The sequence below is a fragment of the Homo sapiens genome, chromosome 14, assembly GCF_000001405.40.
Source record: "Homo sapiens chromosome 14, GRCh38.p14 Primary Assembly".
Lineage (NCBI taxonomy): Eukaryota > Metazoa > Chordata > Mammalia > Primates > Hominidae > Homo > Homo sapiens.
In genome coordinates, this window is record NC_000014.9 from 35,290,566 (window position 1) to 35,310,183 (window position 19,618).

Here is a 19,618-nt window from a genome sequence, read left to right on the forward strand (position 1 = left end):
CCTTATGAAGGTCTTAGAACATTTTTTCTTTAAAATAGAAAGTTAGTTTAGGAAATACATTAAAGGAGTAAGAATCCCTACTTCAGTATTACAGCAGGCATTACAGTGCCACAAACATTAGTGTATCTTGCCTTCCTTGTACACAAACCATCTTTATCTGGGGAGAAAAACAACTATCCTAACATTATGTTTTGCATTTTGTATTCATTAAATGGGAGTGTGCCTTGGGGAAAGTCAAAATAGGCACAAATTTGCGATTTGAAAAGCCACCTGCTCTTCTCCCGGAGCTACCTCGCCAGCTTGGAATTACTCTCATTAATCCATGCAACACTAGCTGCTCTAAGCCCCATCCCCTCAGCTCTAGTTCATTATTAATCAAGGGTGCTTAACCTCATTCCCCATTACTCGTATTTCAACCTCAGTTCCACATTTTTTTTTTTTTATTTAGATAGATCTTCCTCTGTCGCCCAGGCTGGAGTGCAGTGGCGTGATCATAGCTCACTGCAACCTGGATCTCCTGGGCTCAAGCCATCCTCCCACCTTAGCCCCCCGAGTAGCTGGGACTACTGGCGCGCGCCACCACGCACAGCTAATTTTATTTTTTGTAGAGACGGGGCCTTCCTATGTTGGCCAGGCTGGAGTTAGGCTTTCTTTCTTTTTTTTTTTTTTTGAGACGGAGTCTCGCTCTGTCGCCCAGGCTGGAGTGCAGTGGCATGATCTCGGCTCACTGCAAGCTCCGCCTCTCCGGTTCACGCCGTTCTCCTGCCTCAGCCTCCCAAGTATATGGGACTACAGGCGCCCGCCACCACGCCTGGCTAATTTTTTTTGTATTTTTTAGTAGAGACGGGGTTTCACCGTGTTAGCCAGGATGGTCTCAATCTCCTGACCTCGTGATCCGCCCGCCTTGGTCTCCCAAAGTGCTGGGATTACAGGCGTGAGCCACCGCGCCCGGCCTCCGCTTTCAAGACTAAAAATTGCCTGGGCACTGTGGCTCAAGCCTGTAATCCCAGCACTCTGGGAGGCCGAGGAAGGTGGATCACTTGGGCTCAGGAGTTCGAGAGCTGCCTGACCAACATGGCGAAACCCCGCCTCTACTAAAAATACAAAATTAGCCGGTCCTGGTGGCACACGCCTATAATCCCAGCTACTCGGGAGGATGAGGCAGGAGAATCGCTTGAACTCAGGAGGGGGAGGTTGCAGTCAGCCGAGATCGCGCCATTGCACTCCAGCCTGGGCAACAAGGGCGAAACTCTGTCTCAAAAAAAAAAAAAAAAAAAAAAAAGACTAAAAATTGTCGGGGCTGCTGGCCAAAAGAAGATCTTGCCTGGCTGTCAGAAAATAATGTTCTTTCCAGCGGCTGCTTGAACCCGCTTCCTTCAGTGCCTAAATTTAACGGCTGCAGCTGCAGCTGCAACCTGTTTCCCCCGTAATAGGAATGAAAGTGGAGGATAAAAGAGGTTAGGAAGAAGGCAAGCCAGCAGTCTGACCAGACACAGGATGCATGTAAGAGACTTGTTAATTACACGTTCTATTTAGGTCACACTGATAGGCAAATCGCTATTCTGGGCCCCCAGGAAGCCTTTTCGTCCTTGCTATAGTCAATTCATTCTCCAGATGAAAGCCTGAAAGCGCCACGACCCAAGTTTCACGTCTATCCACTCAAGAGGCCTGCTTGGCGCAGGCGCATACCTTCAAAGGCCTCCCGCCCTCACTCCACCACCCCCTTAGGGGGCGGGGCCTCAGAGCTCAGTGCTCGAACTGGCTCCAGAGCCGTGAGTTCGGCATGCAAGAGCGGAAGAAACGCGGCTGGTACCCCGGAAGCAGTCGCTGCAACTTCCGGGAGGTGCTTGTGTGCCTGGTGCGGGAGCTACGGGGCCCAGGGATTGTGTTTAAAGTAGTGCTTCTACCAACATGTCCCGTGGTTCCAGCGCCGGTTTTGACCGCCACATTACCATTTTTTCACCCGAGGGTCGGCTCTACCAAGTAGGTGAGTGAACCAGGTTCGCCTGTGGGCCACCTGAATTGCCCTGTCATGGTACGTGCCTGGAGCGAGCAGACGCGGCCCGGGTTTAGTCTGGGGCCGAAGCTGGGCTGGAGCTGGGAAGGGAGAACGGCTGAAGCTGGATTGAGCTCTGTGGTGTTTGCACCCCCGTCTGGACGCAGGGATCGGGGGCCTGAAGGCCTGTCTCTGCAGGGCGAGCGGCCACACTGCGTAGACCCAATGGAGAGTTAAGGAAGATAGGGCTGTAATGCCTGACTCCGGCTTCGTGAGGCCCCTTCAGTTATTGTATTCTGTCCTGGCCAGGCACAAGGTCTGTTTCTAAAGGGTAATTGATTCCTTAACGTCTCAACTAAAATGCCTCCTCTCCGTTTTCCTTTGTTTGCAGCATGGACTTCTGTGGTTAATTCCACACAGGCACTCGAAGCCTGCTATATACCAGACACTGCTAGTCCTAGGAGATACAAATGTGAATGTTACACCCTCTTCTATACTGAAGCTCACAGCTTAGAGTGACAGATACGTTAAACAAACGGATAAAAAAAATTAAAAGTGCCAATTTACAAATATCTACAGAGTTCAAGACATCTTTGGGAATCTGATAGAATGAGTGACTCAATTCTAGAGCTGCTCTTGAGATTGGCATCCCCTTTTTACCCACATCTGTTTGAATGCTCCTGTAATTTAAATGCCGATTCTGAGTTGTAGATGAGGTACTGTGTACTAGTTTACTGAAGAACACCTGTAGTGGAAAGAAACTATCAGTTACTCGGAATAGTAATGTATTGCGCTGAAACGGTGTCAAGGTTTAGGTTATGATTATAAGCCAGACCCTTGATCTCTTACCATAGAGAATTTAGTGTCAGGAGGGCTTGATTTACATCTGGTCCGTGATGGTTTTATTTTTGAATGAGTTTAGTGGCTCCGTGTCTTGCACAGTAATATAATCATCTGTGCTTGGAATCATAAGGAGAGAGTTGGTCTGTAAATGAGGTTCTCTTCACCTGTAAATTTTAGAAATAGAGTTAAAGATAACTTGGAATGAAACTGCTCAGTGTATTACTGCATAGTGTATATAATGTAGCAAGAAACATCTTGTTGGATAATTCAGTAGCCCTTTTAATTTATCCCCAATTGAAAAACATGATTAAAGATAGAACAAAGAGATAACTGTATCCTCAAAGAATTTTCATTTATTGTATTAAATTCCTGAGTTTTAAATAATTTTCGTATATTAGACTACTGCTTTCAGCGTTCCATTCGTGATTTTTAATATGTGAACAGGAAAAGTCACTCTGAGACCTTTACTTTGTTTCTATATACTGTATTGTGAAGTCCAGCCATAAAGCATAATCGTTAATGCTTCCCAGATTTGGTGAGTGGAAAGGCTGAACACAGTGTCATTGTGATGGTTTTAAAAGATTTGGAAGAGAACATCTATCTGAAAACAAGTTCATTATCTAGACAGAATGATTTTTTATTTATTTTTATTTTTTTGAGACAGAGCTTCACTCTTGTTGCCTAGGCTGGAGTGCAATGGCGCGATCTCGGCTCCCCGCAATCTCCGCCTCCCGGGTTCAAGCAATTCTGCCTCAGCCTCCCAAGTACTGGGATTACAGGCATGCGCCACCACGCCTGGCTAATTTTGTATTTTTAGTAGAGACGAGGTTTCTCCATGTTGATCTCGAACTCCCAACCTCAGGTGATCCACCCACCTCGGCCTCCCAAAGTGCTGGGATTACAGGCGTGAGCACCGGGCCTAGCACCAGCCTAGACAGAATGATTTTAATCTCTGTGAATAACACACTCCCTCTGCTATTCAGGGCATTAATTAGACATTGTTAGGAAAATGAAAGTGAAAGAGTAGTATGAGCAAGCAGTATAGTGAAGAGTTCAGGCCCTGGAGTCATACATGGATTCAAATCTCTGCCCTGCTCCATACTACCTGATCTGGGCACTTGCCAGGTATGTAACCTTAGCCTTAGTTTCTCTTTCCAAAGTTGGGCTCATAATAATTCTTCCTTAAATGGTGGTTTTGAGAATTAAATAAGGCAATGTATGTAGAGTGCTTAACGTGTGCCTGCCACATAGTAAATGCTCAGTGAATGTTATTAGATGCTTGTTTGATTCTTTGGCCCCCCCTTTTTTTTTTGGTCTATTAGATTAGTAGCTCTGTATGGAATATTTCCCTTTTTATGGGTCCTTCCATGCTTAGTTCTCCAGTAAAATATATACATAATCATAATATTCTAAATACTGTCTGTTTGTAAACTTTAGAATCCTCCAAAGACAAAGCATGGAAGGATTATAGGATGCAAGTTGTTAACATTGACAGTAGGAAAATAATATTTTAAAAATGGGATGATGATGAGGGGAGATTAATGGAAGGTAACTATGCTCTTTATCTTCCATACTTGGGACTCAAAAGATAAATGTCGTCTAAAGTTGATATATCAAAAAATAGAGGTAGACATTTAAAGTTATAATGCTTGGCCAGGTGCAGTGCCTCACACCTGTAATCCCAGCACTTTGGGAGGGCGAGGTGGGCAGATTACCTGAGGTCAGGAGTTGAAGACCAGCCTGACCAACATGGTGAAACTCTGTCTCTACTAAAAATACAAAAAACTAGCTGCTTGTGCTGGCGTGCCTGTAGTCCTACCTCCTCAGGAAGCTGAGGCACAAGAATCGCTTGAACCTAGGAGGCAGAGGTTGCAGTGAGCCAAGACCGTGCCATTGCACCTCCAGACTGGGTGACAGAGCTAGACTCCATCTAAAAAAAAAAAAAAGTTGTAATGCCAATCATAATTATAAACATACTTTATAATTATTAATAACATATTATTGGCAGTGTTTGCTCCCAGGGAGTGGAGAGAAAGACTTTTTCTTTTTTTTTTTTTTCCCTTTGAGACAGAGTTGCGCTCTTGTTGCCCAGGCTGGAGTGCAATGGCCGTGATCTCAGCTCACTGAAACCTCCACCTCCCAGGTTCAAGCGATTCTCCTGCCTCAGCCTCCCAAGTAGCTGGGATTACAGACATGTGCCACCACTCCTGGCTAATTTTGCAGTTTTAATAGAGATGGGGTTTCACCATGTTGGTCTGGCTGGTCTTGAACTCCTGACTTCAGGTGATCCACCCACCTCGGCCTCCCAAAGTGCTGGGATTACAGGCATGAGCCATTGCGCTCGGCCTGAAATATTTCTCTTAATGTACATATGCAGGTTGTATGTGTGTGCATGTATTCATTTGTTAAAAATTGTAGAACACCTAGCTTTGTAATCTATTTTCAGGAATTGCCCAAGTTACTAGAGGGAGGAGGTGCATTGTAGGGGGAATGGGACTGAGGCCCTAGTTGGCCAAATTCAGCCTGGCTACTTGTAGGCCCTTCTCTTCTGTTTGCTGATCCTTTGCTGGATAGGTCTGGCAAAGGAGAAGAGGAGTGGTCATTTGGATTTGCTTGACAGGTGTATGTGAGCACTGCCTGGTTGCTACAAAGAAGGGAGCGTGCTGATAGGGAACTAGAAAGAAATGGACTGGTGGAGACATACTGAAAATAAAATGTAGAAGTGTCATTGTGTATTGAAGCCAGAATTCCTGAGTTCAAGTCCTTACTGCATACCAACTCTAAGAACTTTTTATCTGTAAAATAAAGATAATAACCACCTACCTTATAGGGCTTTAAGGATTTAATTAGTTAATAAATGTAAAGCATTTAAAACATTGCCCGGTATATATAGTAAGCACTCAATGTTTTCTGGGTGTTTGTTTGTTTGTTTGTTTGTTTGTTTTTGAGACAGTCTCACTTGGTCGCCCAGGCTAGAGTGCAATGGCGTGATCTCAGCTCACTGCAACCTCTGCCTTCTGGGTTCAAGTGATTCTCCTGCCTCAGCCTCCCGAGTAGCTGGGATTACAGGCGCCTGCCACCATGCCCGGCTAGTTTTTGTATTTTTTGTAGAAACAGGGTTTCACTATGTTGGCCAGGTTGGTCTTGAACTCCTGACCTCATGATCTGCCCACCTCGGCCTCCCAAAGTTCTGGGATTACAAGCGTGAGCCACCATGCCCCGCCTTCAATTAGTATTTTCTGTAGGGGATACTGTCAAGAAGAAACAAATGGCTGATGTAAATGGAGTCAGAAATTTCACAAATGACTGAGAAGTACTTACCATTTGCCTCTTTTGCAATTTAAAAAATATTCTTATTTCAAAGCAGTATTTCTCAACCCAGGCTTCTCATGCCCTCTTTGAATCTGATTTGAAATTCAATGCATGTGTGTGCATGCATACACATACATACATGTGCATATCTACATAAATACATATATAACTACACAGAAAAAGTGATGGGATCAAATACTGCTGTATTTTCAAACCTCATATTCCCCCTCTCTTTCCCCCTCCCCCAGTGCCAAGATTTCTAATGACCCCACCCCCTTGAGGAATCACTGTTCTAAAGAGTAAAAGGTTAGGAGGCACTTTATAGTGAACCACACATCTCAATTATGTAGCCTACAAGTTTAGGGAAAAGCAAATAAGTAGCTTCAAAAAAATCTTAACAAAGTTTTTTTTTTTTTTTTTTTTTTTTTTTGCCACACAGCATTGAAATTGAATATGAATATACTTTCTTTGTCCCAGTAGAACATCCCGTTTTATTTTTATTTTTATTTTTTTGGGGGGGATTGAGTCTCGCTCTGTCACCCAGGCTGGAGTGCAGTGTTGCAATCTCTGCTCACTGCAAACTCCGCCTCCTGGGTTCACGCCGTTCTCCTGCCTCAGCCTCCTGAGTAGCTGGGACTGTAGGCGCCTGCCTCCGAGCCCAGCTAATTTTTTATATTTTTAGTAGAGACGGGGTTTCACCGTGTTAGCCAGGATGGTCTCAGTCTCCTGACCTCGTGATCCGCCTGCCTCGGCCTCCCAAAGTGCTGGGATTACAGGCGTGAGCCACCGTGAGGCCTGTTTTTTAATAACTCATAGAATATGTATCTCTCAATTCATTTTTATTTTTCAAGCCCACGTTTATATGGGAGAAAATCATATTTACATCCCGAAACTCTACAGCATTCTAAACAAAATTATGGGTGGAAAAAGTCTTGAGTTACATTTCTAATAATTGGTAGGACCTCAGAATCACCTGTAAATGCTTTGCAACACCTGATGAGTGACATAAAGGGAATATATATCTCTGCTGTTGTTCTCACAGCCTGAGCTGTGTACAGTGTGAGCCATTGTCTTGCATCGTGTGCCTGTCCTGAACATTTTGCCACCGTGCCTTTTATGTTTAGCCACTGTATTTTTCTAGTATACAAATGAATCCCAGAGAAATTGAGGAAGTGTTGGGGAAAATGGTAGGGAAGGAAACAAAGCAAATAAGATATTACTATGGAAATGACATTTCTACATACAAAATAACTGTTGATACCATTTTGTTTGAGCAAGGAAGCAATTTACTTCCTAACCTAATGGTTTGTTGTTGGGTTCAACCATGAAACTGCTGGTCTTTGACTAATTTTTAACCTGTAAAAATGGCAGTTTCGTGTGGTTCAATCTAATACTTAGGTATTTTACTGTGTATTTAAGATTTAGAAAATTGGGGGCTTGGAGTCGAGTTTAATGCATTATAATTTTTCCCATTTAAAAACTGGAAAATGGGGCCGGACACAGTGGCTCACACCTGTAATCCCAGCACTTTGGGAGGCCGAGGCAGGTGGATAACCTAAGTTTAGGTGTTCAAGACCAGCCTGGCCCACATGGTGAAACCCTATCTGTACTAAAAATACAAAAATTAGCTGGGTGTGGTGGCGTGCCCCTGTAGACCCAGCTACTAGGGAGGCTGAGACAGGAGAATTGCTTGAGCCCGGGAGGTGGAGGTTGTAGTGAGCTGAGATCGCACTGCTGCACTCTAGCCTGGGCAACAAAGTGAGACTCCATCTCAAAAAAAGAAAAAAAAAAGGAAAAGGAACTATGACTTATTATTTTCTTGCATAATCTTGGACATTCAAGAATAGTTTACTCAGTTTTAGAGTTCTGTAAGTTTCCAAAATTTTAGCCCAAACCAAAGTCTTTGATCATGTAGTGTTTAAGTACTGTTGCCAACGTTTGAATCCTGACTTTAAAAAATAAATATCATTTTAAAATGCTGCCCATAAACTATTATTTTTATCTTTATTTCTTTATTATTATTATTATTATTTTGGAGACAGAGTTTCACTCGGTTGCCCAGGCTGGAGTACAGTGGTGCAATCTCAGATCACTATAACTTCCGCCTCCCAGGTTAACTCAATTATCCTGCCTCAGTCTCCTGAGTAGCTGGGATTACAGGCGCGCACCACCATACCTGGCTAATTTTTGCATTTTTAGTACAGACAGAGTTTCACCATGTTGGCCAGGCTGGTCTCAAACTCCTGACCTCAAGTGATCCACCTGCCTCGGCCTCCCGAAGTACTGGTATTATAGGCGTGAGTCACTGCGTCCAGCTATTTATTTTTTGAGACAGGGTCTCACTCTGTCGCCCAGGCTGGAGTGCAGTGGTGTAATCATAGCTCACTGTAGCCTCAAACTCTTGCACTCAAGAAATTCTCCTGCCTCAGCTTCTCAAGTAGCTGGGAGTACAGGTATACACCACCATGCTCAGATAACTTTTTATTTTTAGTAGAGATGACATCTTGGTGTTTCCCAGGCTGGTCTTGAACTCCTGGGCTCAACTGATCCTCCTGCCTCCATTCCCAAAGTGCTGGGATTATAGGTGTGAGCCGCCGCAGTGCCCAGCCTCTTTTTTTTTTTTTGAGATGGAGTCTCACCCTGTCACCCAGACTGGAGTGTAGTGGTGCAATCTCGGCTTGCTGCGACCTCTGTCTCCTGGGTTCAAGCGATTCTCCTGCCTCAGCACCCCAATAGCTGGGATTACAGGCGCCTGCCACCACACCTGGCTAATTTTTGTATTTTTAATAGAGGCAGTGTTTCACTATGTTGGTTAGGCTGGTCTTGAACTCCTGACCTCAAGTGATCCACCCGCCTCGGCCTCCCAAAGTGCTGGGATTACAGGCGTGAGCCACCATGCCCAGCCTCTTTTTTCTTAATTGGCCTTCATATACCATAGGTTGTCCGTATCTGCTCTAAACCATGATACTACTGTTTACCCTGCCAGTGTTTCTTTAAAAGATACTCTTTAGGTGTTGAGTTGTCTAAATTCTTTGCTCTGGCAGTTTCCATTTTTCTGGAAATTATTATAAAACATTTCATGGTGGTAGTGTTAAAATGGGGATTCATTTATACAAGCCTTTACTGAAATTACAGTGCAGCTTGATGAGTACTAAATAGTATAAAAAAGGTATTACAGGAAGTGACTAACTGCCTAGGAGAGCCGGGAAAGGCTTCTCAGAGATGAATTGGCCCAGATGAAGATTAAATAAGGAAATTTGGGGGACCAGTGCATAGATCAGTCAGTGTGAATGCAGTATAGACAGTAACAACTGAAAGAGTAAATTATAGCAATATTTTGAAGGGGCTTGAGTACCATGCTAGAGTTTGGACTTTTTTCCATGTGTTTTGAACAGAGCTAGCAGGGGTCTTTAAGAATGGCGAGGTAATTAAGTAAAATAATAGGAGAGTTGAGTGTAGAAATGGGATTAGAAAGGGACTGATGGTTCACACCTGGAATTCCAACACTTTGGGAGGCTAAGGCAGGAGGATTGCTTGAGGCCAGGAGTTCGAAACTAGCCTGGACAAAATAACAAGACCTTGTCTCTGCAGAATATATAAAATGAAATTAGCCAGGTGTGGTAGTACACACCTGTTGTCCCACATACTCTGGAGGCTGAGGTAGGAGGATTGCTTGAGCCGAAAGTTTCAGGTTGCAGTGAGCTACGATCACACCACTGCACTCCAGCCTAGACAACAGAGTGAGACCTTGTCTCAGAAAAGAAAATAAAAAGGGGACTGGTGGCAGGAAGAACAATTAGAAGAGGTTTGCTCAGTATCAGTAATTCATATAAACCCTAATGAGTGAATTAAGGTAATAAGAGAGAAAGGGTGGAGGGGTCTCTTGAGCTTATTTTTCACATTTTTATTATAGAATACTTTAGACAAATGTAGATAGACTAGTACAGTGACCTTCATGTACCCATCACACAGCTTCATCTGATGTCAATATTTTGTCAGTCTTGTTTTCTCCCTTTCCCACGCACTTTCCCCGCTCTTCTAGAGTACGTTAAAGCAAATCCTAGGTATAAGAATGGACATTTCTTGGGAAAGGGCAGGAGGTTAGAGTCAAGAGTGATAACCCAGGTTTGTAGCTTGAAAAATTGAGTGGTTAGTAATACAATTATGAAATAAGGACTGTAAGAAAAGCAGGTTTATAAAGAGGAAGAGTTTATTTTTAGACATGTCTGTGGCTAATAGGCATAGGTATTTGAAGAAATAGACATTTGTAATTATAAGTCCAGAGCTAGAGATGACAGATTAGTAGTGATTATCTAGGTTATAGCTAAATCTCTGGTTTAGGGTAAAATCATCCAGGGATGGAGAAAATAATAGAATTCTGGGAAATACCAGTATTTCAGGAGCTGGCTGAAGAGATGAAAGCAGTGAAGAAGATTGAGAAGGGAAGTTCAGAGAAGTAGGAGAGGAAGAGTAGGAATGATATTCTTAACAAAGAACTTTAAATTTGGCTGAGCGCAGTGGTTCACACCTATAATCCCAGCACTTTGGGAGGCCGAGGCGGGTGGATCACTTGAGGTCAGGAGTTTGAGACCAGCCTGGCCAACATGGTAAAACCCCGTCTCTACTAAAAATACAGAAAAACTAGCTGGGTGTGGTGGTGTGTGCCTGTAATCCCAGCTACTCAGGAAGCTGAGGCAGGAGAATCGCTTGAACCTGGGAGGCAGAGGTTGCGGCGAGCCAAGATTGCTCCACTGCACACCAGCCTGAGTGACAGAGTGAGACTCCATCTCAAAAAAAAAAAAACTTTAAAATCCAGTTGCTCAGTTACACTAGCCACATTTTATGTGCTCAATAGCCACATATGACTAGTGACTATCATATTGGACATTGCAAATATAGAACATTGCCAGCATCACAGAAATTTCTGTTGGACAGCACTGGTCTATATAAAGAACGAGGGCCCCCTTAATGAATCCTGGCAAATTCACAGGTGCATTCTCTGTTGAGAAGCATTTTTTATATGTAAAATGTTTTTTATTTTGTGAGACAAAAGTTTATGTGGTAGGGAAGATACTCTTTTGTGGCTTTTACCTTTTGCATTATTTAAGCAATAAGCATGTATTCATTTATTTAGTTCAGGGATGACAGACACAAATGCTTACACAGACCAGATAAGTAATGCCAGTGAGTAAAACAGGCTGAGTGAAAGATAACAGGAAATGGTGGGACCTGTGGAAAACTGCAAAACACCTGCTCAGCTTAGGTGATTTTTTTTTTCTTTGTGGCCAGTTGCTATGTGGGATTGAAGATCAAGTGTTACTAGAATTTTTTTTTTTCTAGGAAAAAATCACATCTCTAAAGACCCTCTGCCTGCTTTTGCCATATAAGGTAACATTCACAGGTTCCAGGGACTAGGACATAGATATATTTTGGGGATGCATTTACCAACCTACCAGAGGGTTAATGATTTTATTGGCTCAAAGAACCAGTTTTTGACTTAGCTGGTTTTTCTCTTGTTGTCTGTTACTGTTTCTTGATTTCTGGCCATGTTGTCCAGGCTGGTCTTAAACTTCTGGGCTCAAGCGATCCTCCCCATTCAGCCTCCCAAAGCAGTGGGATTACAAGCATGAGCCATCACACACAGCCAGAATCACTACAAATTTAGTGGTGTTTAAACAACACACACTTATTATGTCATAGTTTCTTTATGTTTTTCATTTGTTTTTCTCTGTTTTCAAAATTTTTTCTATTTTTGGTTTTCAGACATTGGACCATAATGAATCTATATGTGATTTTCTGTTTTCATTTTGCTTGGAGTTTTCTGAGGTTCTTTAATCTGAAATTTTTTTGTCTTTTGCCATATTTTTAACATTTTTAGCCATTATTTCTTCAGATTTTGTTTTCCGATTCTTTGCTCTCCATATAGGACTCCAGTTGTACATATCTTACACATTTTGATGTAGACCCACAGATTCGTTGTTTTTTTCAACTATTTTTTCTGCCTTTTTAAGATTGGATCATTTGATACATTTTCATATTCACTCACTCTTTCCTTTCTCATCTCCATTCTACAGTTACGTCCATTTGGTGAATTTTTAAATTTTACGTATTATATTTTTCAGTTCTACAATTTCCTTTTGCTTCTTTCATTTTTTCTTTGCTGAGATTTCCTATCATTTTTCATTTTGAGAACATTTTCCATCATGTCATTGAGCATAGTTATAATGGTTGTTTTTAATTCTTTGCTAATACAGCAACATCTGGGTCGTCTCAGGATTGTTCTTTTTGAGAATTAAACACAATATTCCTGGTTTTTGTTGTTTGGTTTTGGTTTTGGTTTTTTAGTTTGACTTGATTTGTTTTTTGGTATATTGAGAGTTCCGGATTGTATCCTGGACATTTATGAATGTTATTTTATGAAGACTGTGGATTCTGTTATATTTCTCCAAAGAGTATTGACTTGTTTTGTTCTAATAGGCAGTTAATTTGGTTATTCTCAAGCTACAAAGTCTGTCTCTTGGGTGGCATCTTAAATCTCACTCGGTTTCTTTTATCCTTAACTAGGCCGCTTGGAGTCTGCCTTGTGTGTGTTGTTATGGAATCTGCTAGAGATTTGGGCAGTGTTTATATATAGAAGTTGGGACTCTCACTCTCTAGTGCTCTGGTTTCTCTCCCTTGTTTTCTGGCAGCTATTGTTACCCCAAACTGTTCTCTAGTTCTTCAGGCCAAAAAGACTGAGTTTTCTGTGGGAGTTCAGCCTTTACTGCTCTCAGATTATGAGCCACAAAAATGGGAAACTCAACTCATGCCATTCCTTTCTCCCAACTGTTGACTTCCCCTCTAGAATCTGACTTTGTGGTGTCTTTAGGTAGTTGTTGTTTTGTTTAGAGTTAGTACTTTTTATTTGTGGAGGGCTGATCTGATAGAAGCTTTATTAGCCATATCAGGATCAGAATCAAGAAGCACTTTGAAAGTTGTACAGCTAGTCCTCCATATTCAACCCATATTCATGGGTTCATCATCCATGGATTCAACCAGCTGCAGATCATAAATATTCAGGGAAAAAATTGCTCCTGTACTGAACATGTACAGATTTTTTTCTTGTCATTATTCGCTAAACAATGTAGTATAACAACTATTTAGCATTTACATTGTATTAGCTAGTGTAGTGTAAGCTAGAGATAATTTCTTTCTTTTTTTTTTTTTAAACGGAGTCTCACTCATTGTATTAGCTCGTGTAGTGTAAGCTAGAGATAATTTCTTTCTTTTTTTTTTAGACGGAGTCTCGCTCTGTAGCCCAGGCTGGAGTGTAGTGGTGCAATCTCAGCTCACTGCAACCTCCACCTCCCAGGTTCCAGCGATTTTCCTGCCTCAGCCTCCTGAGTAGCTGGGATTACAGGCACCTGCCACCATGTCTGGCTAATTTTTGTATTTTTAATAGAGATGCGGTTTCACCATGTCGGCCAGGATGGTCTTGAACTCCTGACTTCAGGTGATCTGCCTGTCTCTGCCTCCCAAAGTGCTGGGATTACAGGTGTCAGCCACCACGCCTGGCCAAGCTAGGGATAATTTCAAGTATACAGGAGGATATACATAGGCGATGTGCAAATACTGTGCCATTTTATATCAGAGACTTGAGTTTCTGTGGATTTTGGAATCCATGGGAGGTCCTAGAACCAATCCCCACAAATAGCGAGGCACCAGCTACATTTTAGAAGTTATTTGTAGTGTAGGCTGAGCGCGGTCGCTCACACCTGTAATCCCAGCATCTGGGAGGCCGAGGTGGGTGTACTACCTGAGGTCAGGAGTTCAAGACCAGCCTGGCCAACATGGCGAAACCTCGTCTCTACTAAAAATACAAAAATTAGCTGGGCGTGGTTGTGCACACCTGTAATCCCAGCTACTCGGGAGGCTCAGGCAGAATTGCTCCAACCCAGGAGGCAGGGGTTGCAGTAAGCCAAGATTGCACCACTGCACTCCAACCTGGGCGACAGAGTGAAACTCCATCTCAAAAAAAAAAAAAAAAGTTATTTGTAGTGTAATGGGATGGTAAAATTTTGCTATTATAATTAACCAATTAAATTGGGGGTTATGGCTCATACCTGCTGTAATCCCAGCTACTCCAGAAGCCGAGGCAAGAGGATCATTTGAGGCCAAGAGTTTGAGACCAGCCTGAGCAATGTAGTGAGACCCCATCTCTAAAAAATTGTTTTAAATTAGGCATGGTGATACCCACCTGTAGTCTCAGCTGCTCAGGAGACTGAAGTGGGAGGGTCTGAATCAGAAGTTTGAGGCTGTGGTGAGCTATGATTGTGCCACTGCACTCAGCCTGGGTGACAGAGCAAGATGCTGTCTCTTGCTCAATAATGATAATAATGATAAAACCAGTTAAATCCAAGCCATATTTGAAGATTTCTTTTCTTTTGTTTCTTTTTTTTTTTTTTGAAATGGGGTCTTGCTCTGTTGCCCAGGCTGGAGTACGGTGGTGTGAGCACGGCTCACTGCAGCCTCGACCTCCTGGGCTCAAGTGATCCTCTTGCCTCAGCCTCCCAAGGAACTGGGACCACAGGTGTACCACCATGCCTAGCTAACATTTTTTTGTAGAGACAGGGTCTTGCCATGTTGCCCAGGCTGGCCTGGGACTCCGGGGCTCAAGCAGTCCTCCCACCTTGGCTTCCCAAATTGCTAGGATTACAGATGTGAGCCACTGCACCCAGCTGAGGATTTCCTTTAAGGTGATTTTTCTAGAATCATTTTTGCTCTGTTCTTTTGTTCTCTCTTAAATAGTTAGCCATTTAGAAATATTTGATGATTTATTACAGTTTCTATTAAAAGAGATTCTTTAGCCTGATAGGCAGTAGCTTTCTTAGCTGGTCGTCATCACCTGTGGCTTTTTGAACAGATGAGGCCTTGGCTCAGACTCAGTGCCCAGAGTGACACTCGAAGACAGAATTTTGAAATAATCTGTTATATGTCAAAATGTAAATAATGATTGGGATTATGAATAATTATTTAAAAGTTATCTTCTGTGTTTTCATATTTTCTACCATGAGCATGTATTGATTTTTGTTGCTTTTCCCCTGATTACAAAATATGTGCCCAGGCCAGGAACAGTGGCTCATGCCTGTAATCCTAAGGTGGGAGGATCACTTGAGCCAGAGTTTGAGACCAGCCTGGGCGACATAGCAAGACCCCATATCTATTTTTAACTAAAAATAAAATAAACAGGCCAGGCATGGTGGCTCATCCCTGTAATCCCATCACTTTGGGAGTCTGAGGTGGGAGGATCGCTTGAGTCCAGGAGTTTGAGACCAGCCTGGGCAACATGGGAAGACTCCATCTCTACAGGAAAAAAATTGAAAATTAGCTGGGTGTGGTGGTATACACCTGTGGTCCCAGCTACTCAGGAGGCTGAGGCTGGAAGATCACTTGGGCCCGGGAGGTCGAGGCTGCAGTGAGCTATGATCATGCCCTGGTGCTCCAGCCTAGGCAACAGAGCAAGACCCTATCTCAAAACCCACCAAAATATGTGTCTATTATTAAATTTAAATATTGCAGAGGCTGTCCTGGTGGCTCACGCCTGTAATCTCAGCACTTTGGAATGCTGATATGGGAGGATCGCTTGAGCTCAGAAGTTCAAGACCAGCCTGGGCAAGATAGTGAGACGTCATCTCTACTAAAAATTTTTTAAAAAAGAAAAATTTGGGCCAGGTGCAGTGGCTCATGCCTGTAATCCCAGCACTTCAGGAGGCTGAGGCAGGCAGATCACCTGAGGTCAGGAGTTCAAGACCAGCCTAGTCAACATGGTGAAACCCTGTCTTTACTGAAAATACAAAAACTAGCTGGGTGTTGTGGCGGGCAGCTGTAATCCCAACTACTCAGGACGAGGCCGAGGCAGGAGAATCGCTTGAGCCCGGGAGGCAGAGGTTGTAGTGAGCCAAGATCATGCCACTGCACTCCAGCCTGGGTGACAGAGCAAGATCTGTAATCTTACTGTCGAAAGACAGCCATTATCAATTATGCTACATGGTGCCAAAGCAGTTTTTTTGTAAGCTACTATTTTGATCCTAGTGTTTTAACCAATAGAATGGATTGACAGCAGCTAGAAGTGCATAAGCTGAGGTTTGTTATAGATGGAGTCATATGTTGGCCTGGCATGGTGGCTCACGCCTGTAATCCTAACACTTTGGGAGGCCGAGGTGGGTGGATCACCTGAGGTCAGGAGTTCGGCACCAGCCTGGCCAACGTGGTGAAACCCCATCTTTACTAAAAATACAAAAACTTAGCTGGGCATGGTGGTGTGCACCTGTAATCCCAGCTACTCAGGAGGCTGAGGCAGGAGAATCACTTGAACCTGGGAAGCGGAGGTTGTAGTAAGCCAAGATCGTGCCACCTCACTCCAACCTGGGCGACAGAGCGAGACTCCATCTCAAAAAAGAAAAGAGTCATATGTTGTAGGTAACATAAAAATTGCAAAAAGCATGATCCAGAAATATTCAACTTGGTAGACAAAAATTAATGCAAAATAATCAAACAGCAATTAAAACTTCATGTGGTCAAATTAGTTACTGACCAAAAGTTAACAAAAGTATTAAGTCTAGAAAAAATTTAAAGCAGCTAAATTTGACCTGGGAAAACCAGACTTAGAAATAATGGCCACAAAAAACCTTTTAAAATGACAAAACATCATTGATAAAGATGCAGTATGATAAAAATTAAATTAAACCATTATTGGGGCGGGGAGTGGTGGCTCACACCTGTAATCCCTGCACTTTGGGATGCCAAGGCAGGTGGATCACCTGAGGTCAGGAGTTCAAGACTAGCCTGGCCAACACAGCGAAACCCCGTCTCTAGTAAAAATACAAATATTAGCCAGATGTGGTGGCACGCGCCTATAATCCCAGCTACTTAGGAGGCTGAGGCAGGAGACTAGCGTTAACCTGGCAGGCAGAGGTTGCAGTGAGCTCAGGTCGCACCACTGCACTCCAGCCTGGGTGACAGAGCGAGACTCTGTTTAAAAAAAGAAAAAAACTTTATTGGAAATTGGGTGCATCAGCTTAATGAAAATAATTTCAGTAAAATGAAAATGGAAGAAATGGAGTTGGTTTAACTGTGACTTGTGGTCATTATTATTATTTTGACTTTGCACATCCTGGAATGCTATATGAGCATTCTGTGTTCATGTAGCTCTTTCTCATTCTTTTTAATGACTATTATTTCATTGCAAGAATCTACAGTAATTTATTCCAACTTAAAAAAAACTGTTCTGTTTTCCAGAATATGCTTTTAAGGCTATTAACCAGGGTGGCCTTACATCAGTAGCTGTCAGAGGGAAAGACTGTGCAGTAATTGTCACACAGAAGAAAGTACCTGTAAGTAATACTGCCCAAATAGTTAATAATTGCAGAATATAAGAATTTTTCAGCCAAGTGCAGTGGCTCACACCTGTAATCCCAGCACTTTGGGAGGCTGAGGTGGGCAGATCACCTTAGATCGGGAGTTCTAGACCAGCGTGACCAACATGGAGAAACCCTGTCTCTATTAAAAATACAAAATTAGTCAGGCGTGGTGGCACATGCCTGTAATTCCAGCTACTCGGGAGGCTGAGGCAGGAGAATCACTTGAACCTGGGAGGTGGAGGTTACGGTGAGCCAGGATCACACCATTGCACTCCAGCCTGGGCAACAACAGTGCAACTCCGTCTCAAAAAAAAAAAGAAAAAAGAAAAGAAAAAAGAATTTTTCATGGGTTTGTAGAAAAGTGTATTTTTATATACAAATATTAACATAATCTTGCTTTGACCCTGCTTTCCTGTCATCCAAGAAGTGTCTATTGAACGTCTATATACAGTTCAGCTGTGTGGACAGAATTAACTTATTAAACTTCATGGCGTGATTATAAGCATAACGGTGTTTCTAAGTCTTTTGTCTTTGGGGACCTTGAGACAAATTTTTATTAAGCTATTGCTTGTCCACAGGAAAAGTATCATCTAGAAAAGGTAAATAGAGCCCCTCGAAACTAAAATTGATTTTAACTATAAAATGATCAGAAGACATTTATTATACAGTTTATTTTTATGGTTCCATAGTATTGTTTTCTCCAAGAAGCAGGGCAAATTAAAAACATAATTTTTTTTATAACTACACAGAAACCTGTATGTTTTTTAAAAAATTATCTTTGTTTATTTTGTTTATTAGGACAAATTATTGGATTCCAGCACAGTGACTCACTTATTCAAGATAACTGAAAACATTGGTTGTGTGATGACCGGAATGACAGGTAATTAATCTGTAGATATACAAGACATCTGTAGATATACAAGCCTTTTGTTATTTTCTTCAAATTATTTTGAGTTTTGTATTAATTTTAAACTTATTGCCTGATTTTCAAGTGCCATGAGTGGATTTGCAGTCTTCTAAGACTAGTATCAATATTTTAAGAGTATTGTGAGCTTTTTTGAAATTATACCTATAATAGAATTAGATGCTTATGCTGCTGTCGGAGAAACTGGGCTGAGGGCCCTTTCATAGATGATTTTATCTTATTTCAGCTATAGTTAGTAGTTTAAGGGGACCTAACTCAGTATATCTCAAACCTGGTAATAATGGCATCGGTTAGAAGTGAGTGAGAATTATTATGAAAATTATTTTAGGTTGGGCACAGTGGCTCACAGTTGTAATCCCAGCACTTTGGGAGGCCAAGGTGAGAGGATTGTTTAAGACCAAGAGTTCAAAACCAGCCTGGGCAACATGGTGAGACTCCATCTCTATAACAAATTTAGAAATTAGCTAGGGGCTGGTCACGGTGGCTCACACCTGTAATCCCAGCACTTTGGGAGGCCGAGGCAGGCGGATCACTTGAGGTCAGGAATTCGAGATCAGCCTGGCCAGCGTGGTGAAACTCCATCTCTACCAAAAATACAAAAATTAGCTGGGCATGGTGGCGCACGCACACCTGTAATCCCAGCTATTCAGGAGGGTGAGGCAGGAGAATTGCTTGAACTCGGGAGGCAGAGGTTGCAGTGAGCTGAGATTGTACTACTGCACTCCAGCCTCGGCAACAGAGTGAGACTGTCTCAAAAAATAAAAACAAAAATACCAAAAAACTTAACCAGCTATGGTGGCAGGTGCCTGTAATCCCAACTACTCAGGAGGCTGAGGCAGGAGAATCGCTTGAACCCGGGAGGTAGAGGTTGCAGTGAGCCAAGATCATGAGACTGTACTGCAGCCTGGGCAACGGAGCAAGACTCCATTTGAAGAAGAAAAAAAAATTAGCTGGTATGGTGGCACATACCTGTAGTCCTAGCTACTCAGGAGGCTGAGGTAGGAGGATCACTTGAGCCAAGGAATTCAAGGCTGCAGTGAGCTATGATGGCTCACTGGGTGCCAGTCCAAGACCCCATCTCTAAAAAAAAAATGAAAAACTAATTTAAGCCTAAAAACAAAGATTAAGAAAGATTATTCTCTC

The 19,618-nt window shown here is 42.6% G+C and overlaps 1 protein-coding gene and 1 long non-coding RNA gene across 9 annotated transcripts in view, besides 6 other annotated features; both read left to right on the forward strand.

The window, feature by feature from the left end:
* PRORP-PSMA6 (PRORP-PSMA6 readthrough) overlaps positions 1–19,618 on the forward strand; it is a 195,633-nt gene that overhangs the window by 168,727 nt on the left and 7,288 nt on the right. For all 4 annotated transcript variants that reach the window (NR_182666.1, NR_182669.1, NR_182668.1 and 1 more), the window contains 2 exons: positions 17,429–17,523; positions 18,349–18,430. This is a non-coding gene — a long non-coding RNA (PRORP-PSMA6 readthrough). The remainder of the gene's footprint in view (positions 1–17,428; positions 17,524–18,348; positions 18,431–19,618) is intronic.
* Positions 1–19,618, forward strand: part of PSMA6 (proteasome 20S subunit alpha 6) — a 38,936-nt gene that overhangs the window by 12,008 nt on the left and 7,310 nt on the right. Inside the window, exons 1-3 of one of the 5 annotated variants that reach the window (NR_104110.1) lie at positions 1,752–1,987; positions 17,429–17,523; positions 18,349–18,430. Coding sequence is in view for 4 of the 5 variants with exons in the window: in NM_002791.3 (NP_002782.1) it covers positions 1,912–1,987; positions 17,429–17,523; positions 18,349–18,430 (253 nt within the window). In the remaining variant the exon portion in view is untranslated. Of the gene's footprint in view, positions 1–1,751; positions 2,036–17,428; positions 17,524–18,348; positions 18,431–19,618 lie in introns of those variants that run through there. The other 4 variants (NM_001282232.1, NM_002791.3, NM_001282234.1 and 1 more) reach the window with 4 other exon arrangements.
* Positions 1,518–2,104: an enhancer, noted in NCBI's record as "H3K27ac hESC enhancer chr14:35761289-35761875 (GRCh37/hg19 assembly coordinates)". NCBI's record gives its function as "activates a minimal SCP1, AML or CMV promoter by ChIP-STARR-seq in naive H9 embryonic stem cells {active_cell/tissue: H9 hESC(naive)}" and the evidence as "EXISTENCE:reporter gene assay evidence [ECO:0000049][PMID:30033119]".
* Positions 1,518–2,140: a biological region, named in NCBI's record as "H3K27ac hESC enhancer GRCh37_chr14:35761289-35761875".
* Positions 1,821–1,900: an enhancer, noted in NCBI's record as "active region_8269". NCBI's record gives its function as "activates an Ori minimal core promoter by ATAC-STARR-seq in GM12878 lymphoblastoid cells {active_cell/tissue: GM12878}" and the evidence as "EXISTENCE:reporter gene assay evidence [ECO:0000049][PMID:35858748]".
* Positions 2,021–2,140: an enhancer, noted in NCBI's record as "active region_8270". NCBI's record gives its function as "activates an Ori minimal core promoter by ATAC-STARR-seq in GM12878 lymphoblastoid cells {active_cell/tissue: GM12878}" and the evidence as "EXISTENCE:reporter gene assay evidence [ECO:0000049][PMID:35858748]".
* Positions 2,221–2,280: an enhancer, noted in NCBI's record as "active region_8271". NCBI's record gives its function as "activates an Ori minimal core promoter by ATAC-STARR-seq in GM12878 lymphoblastoid cells {active_cell/tissue: GM12878}" and the evidence as "EXISTENCE:reporter gene assay evidence [ECO:0000049][PMID:35858748]".
* Positions 3,734–3,913: an enhancer, noted in NCBI's record as "active region_8272". NCBI's record gives its function as "activates an Ori minimal core promoter by ATAC-STARR-seq in GM12878 lymphoblastoid cells {active_cell/tissue: GM12878}" and the evidence as "EXISTENCE:reporter gene assay evidence [ECO:0000049][PMID:35858748]".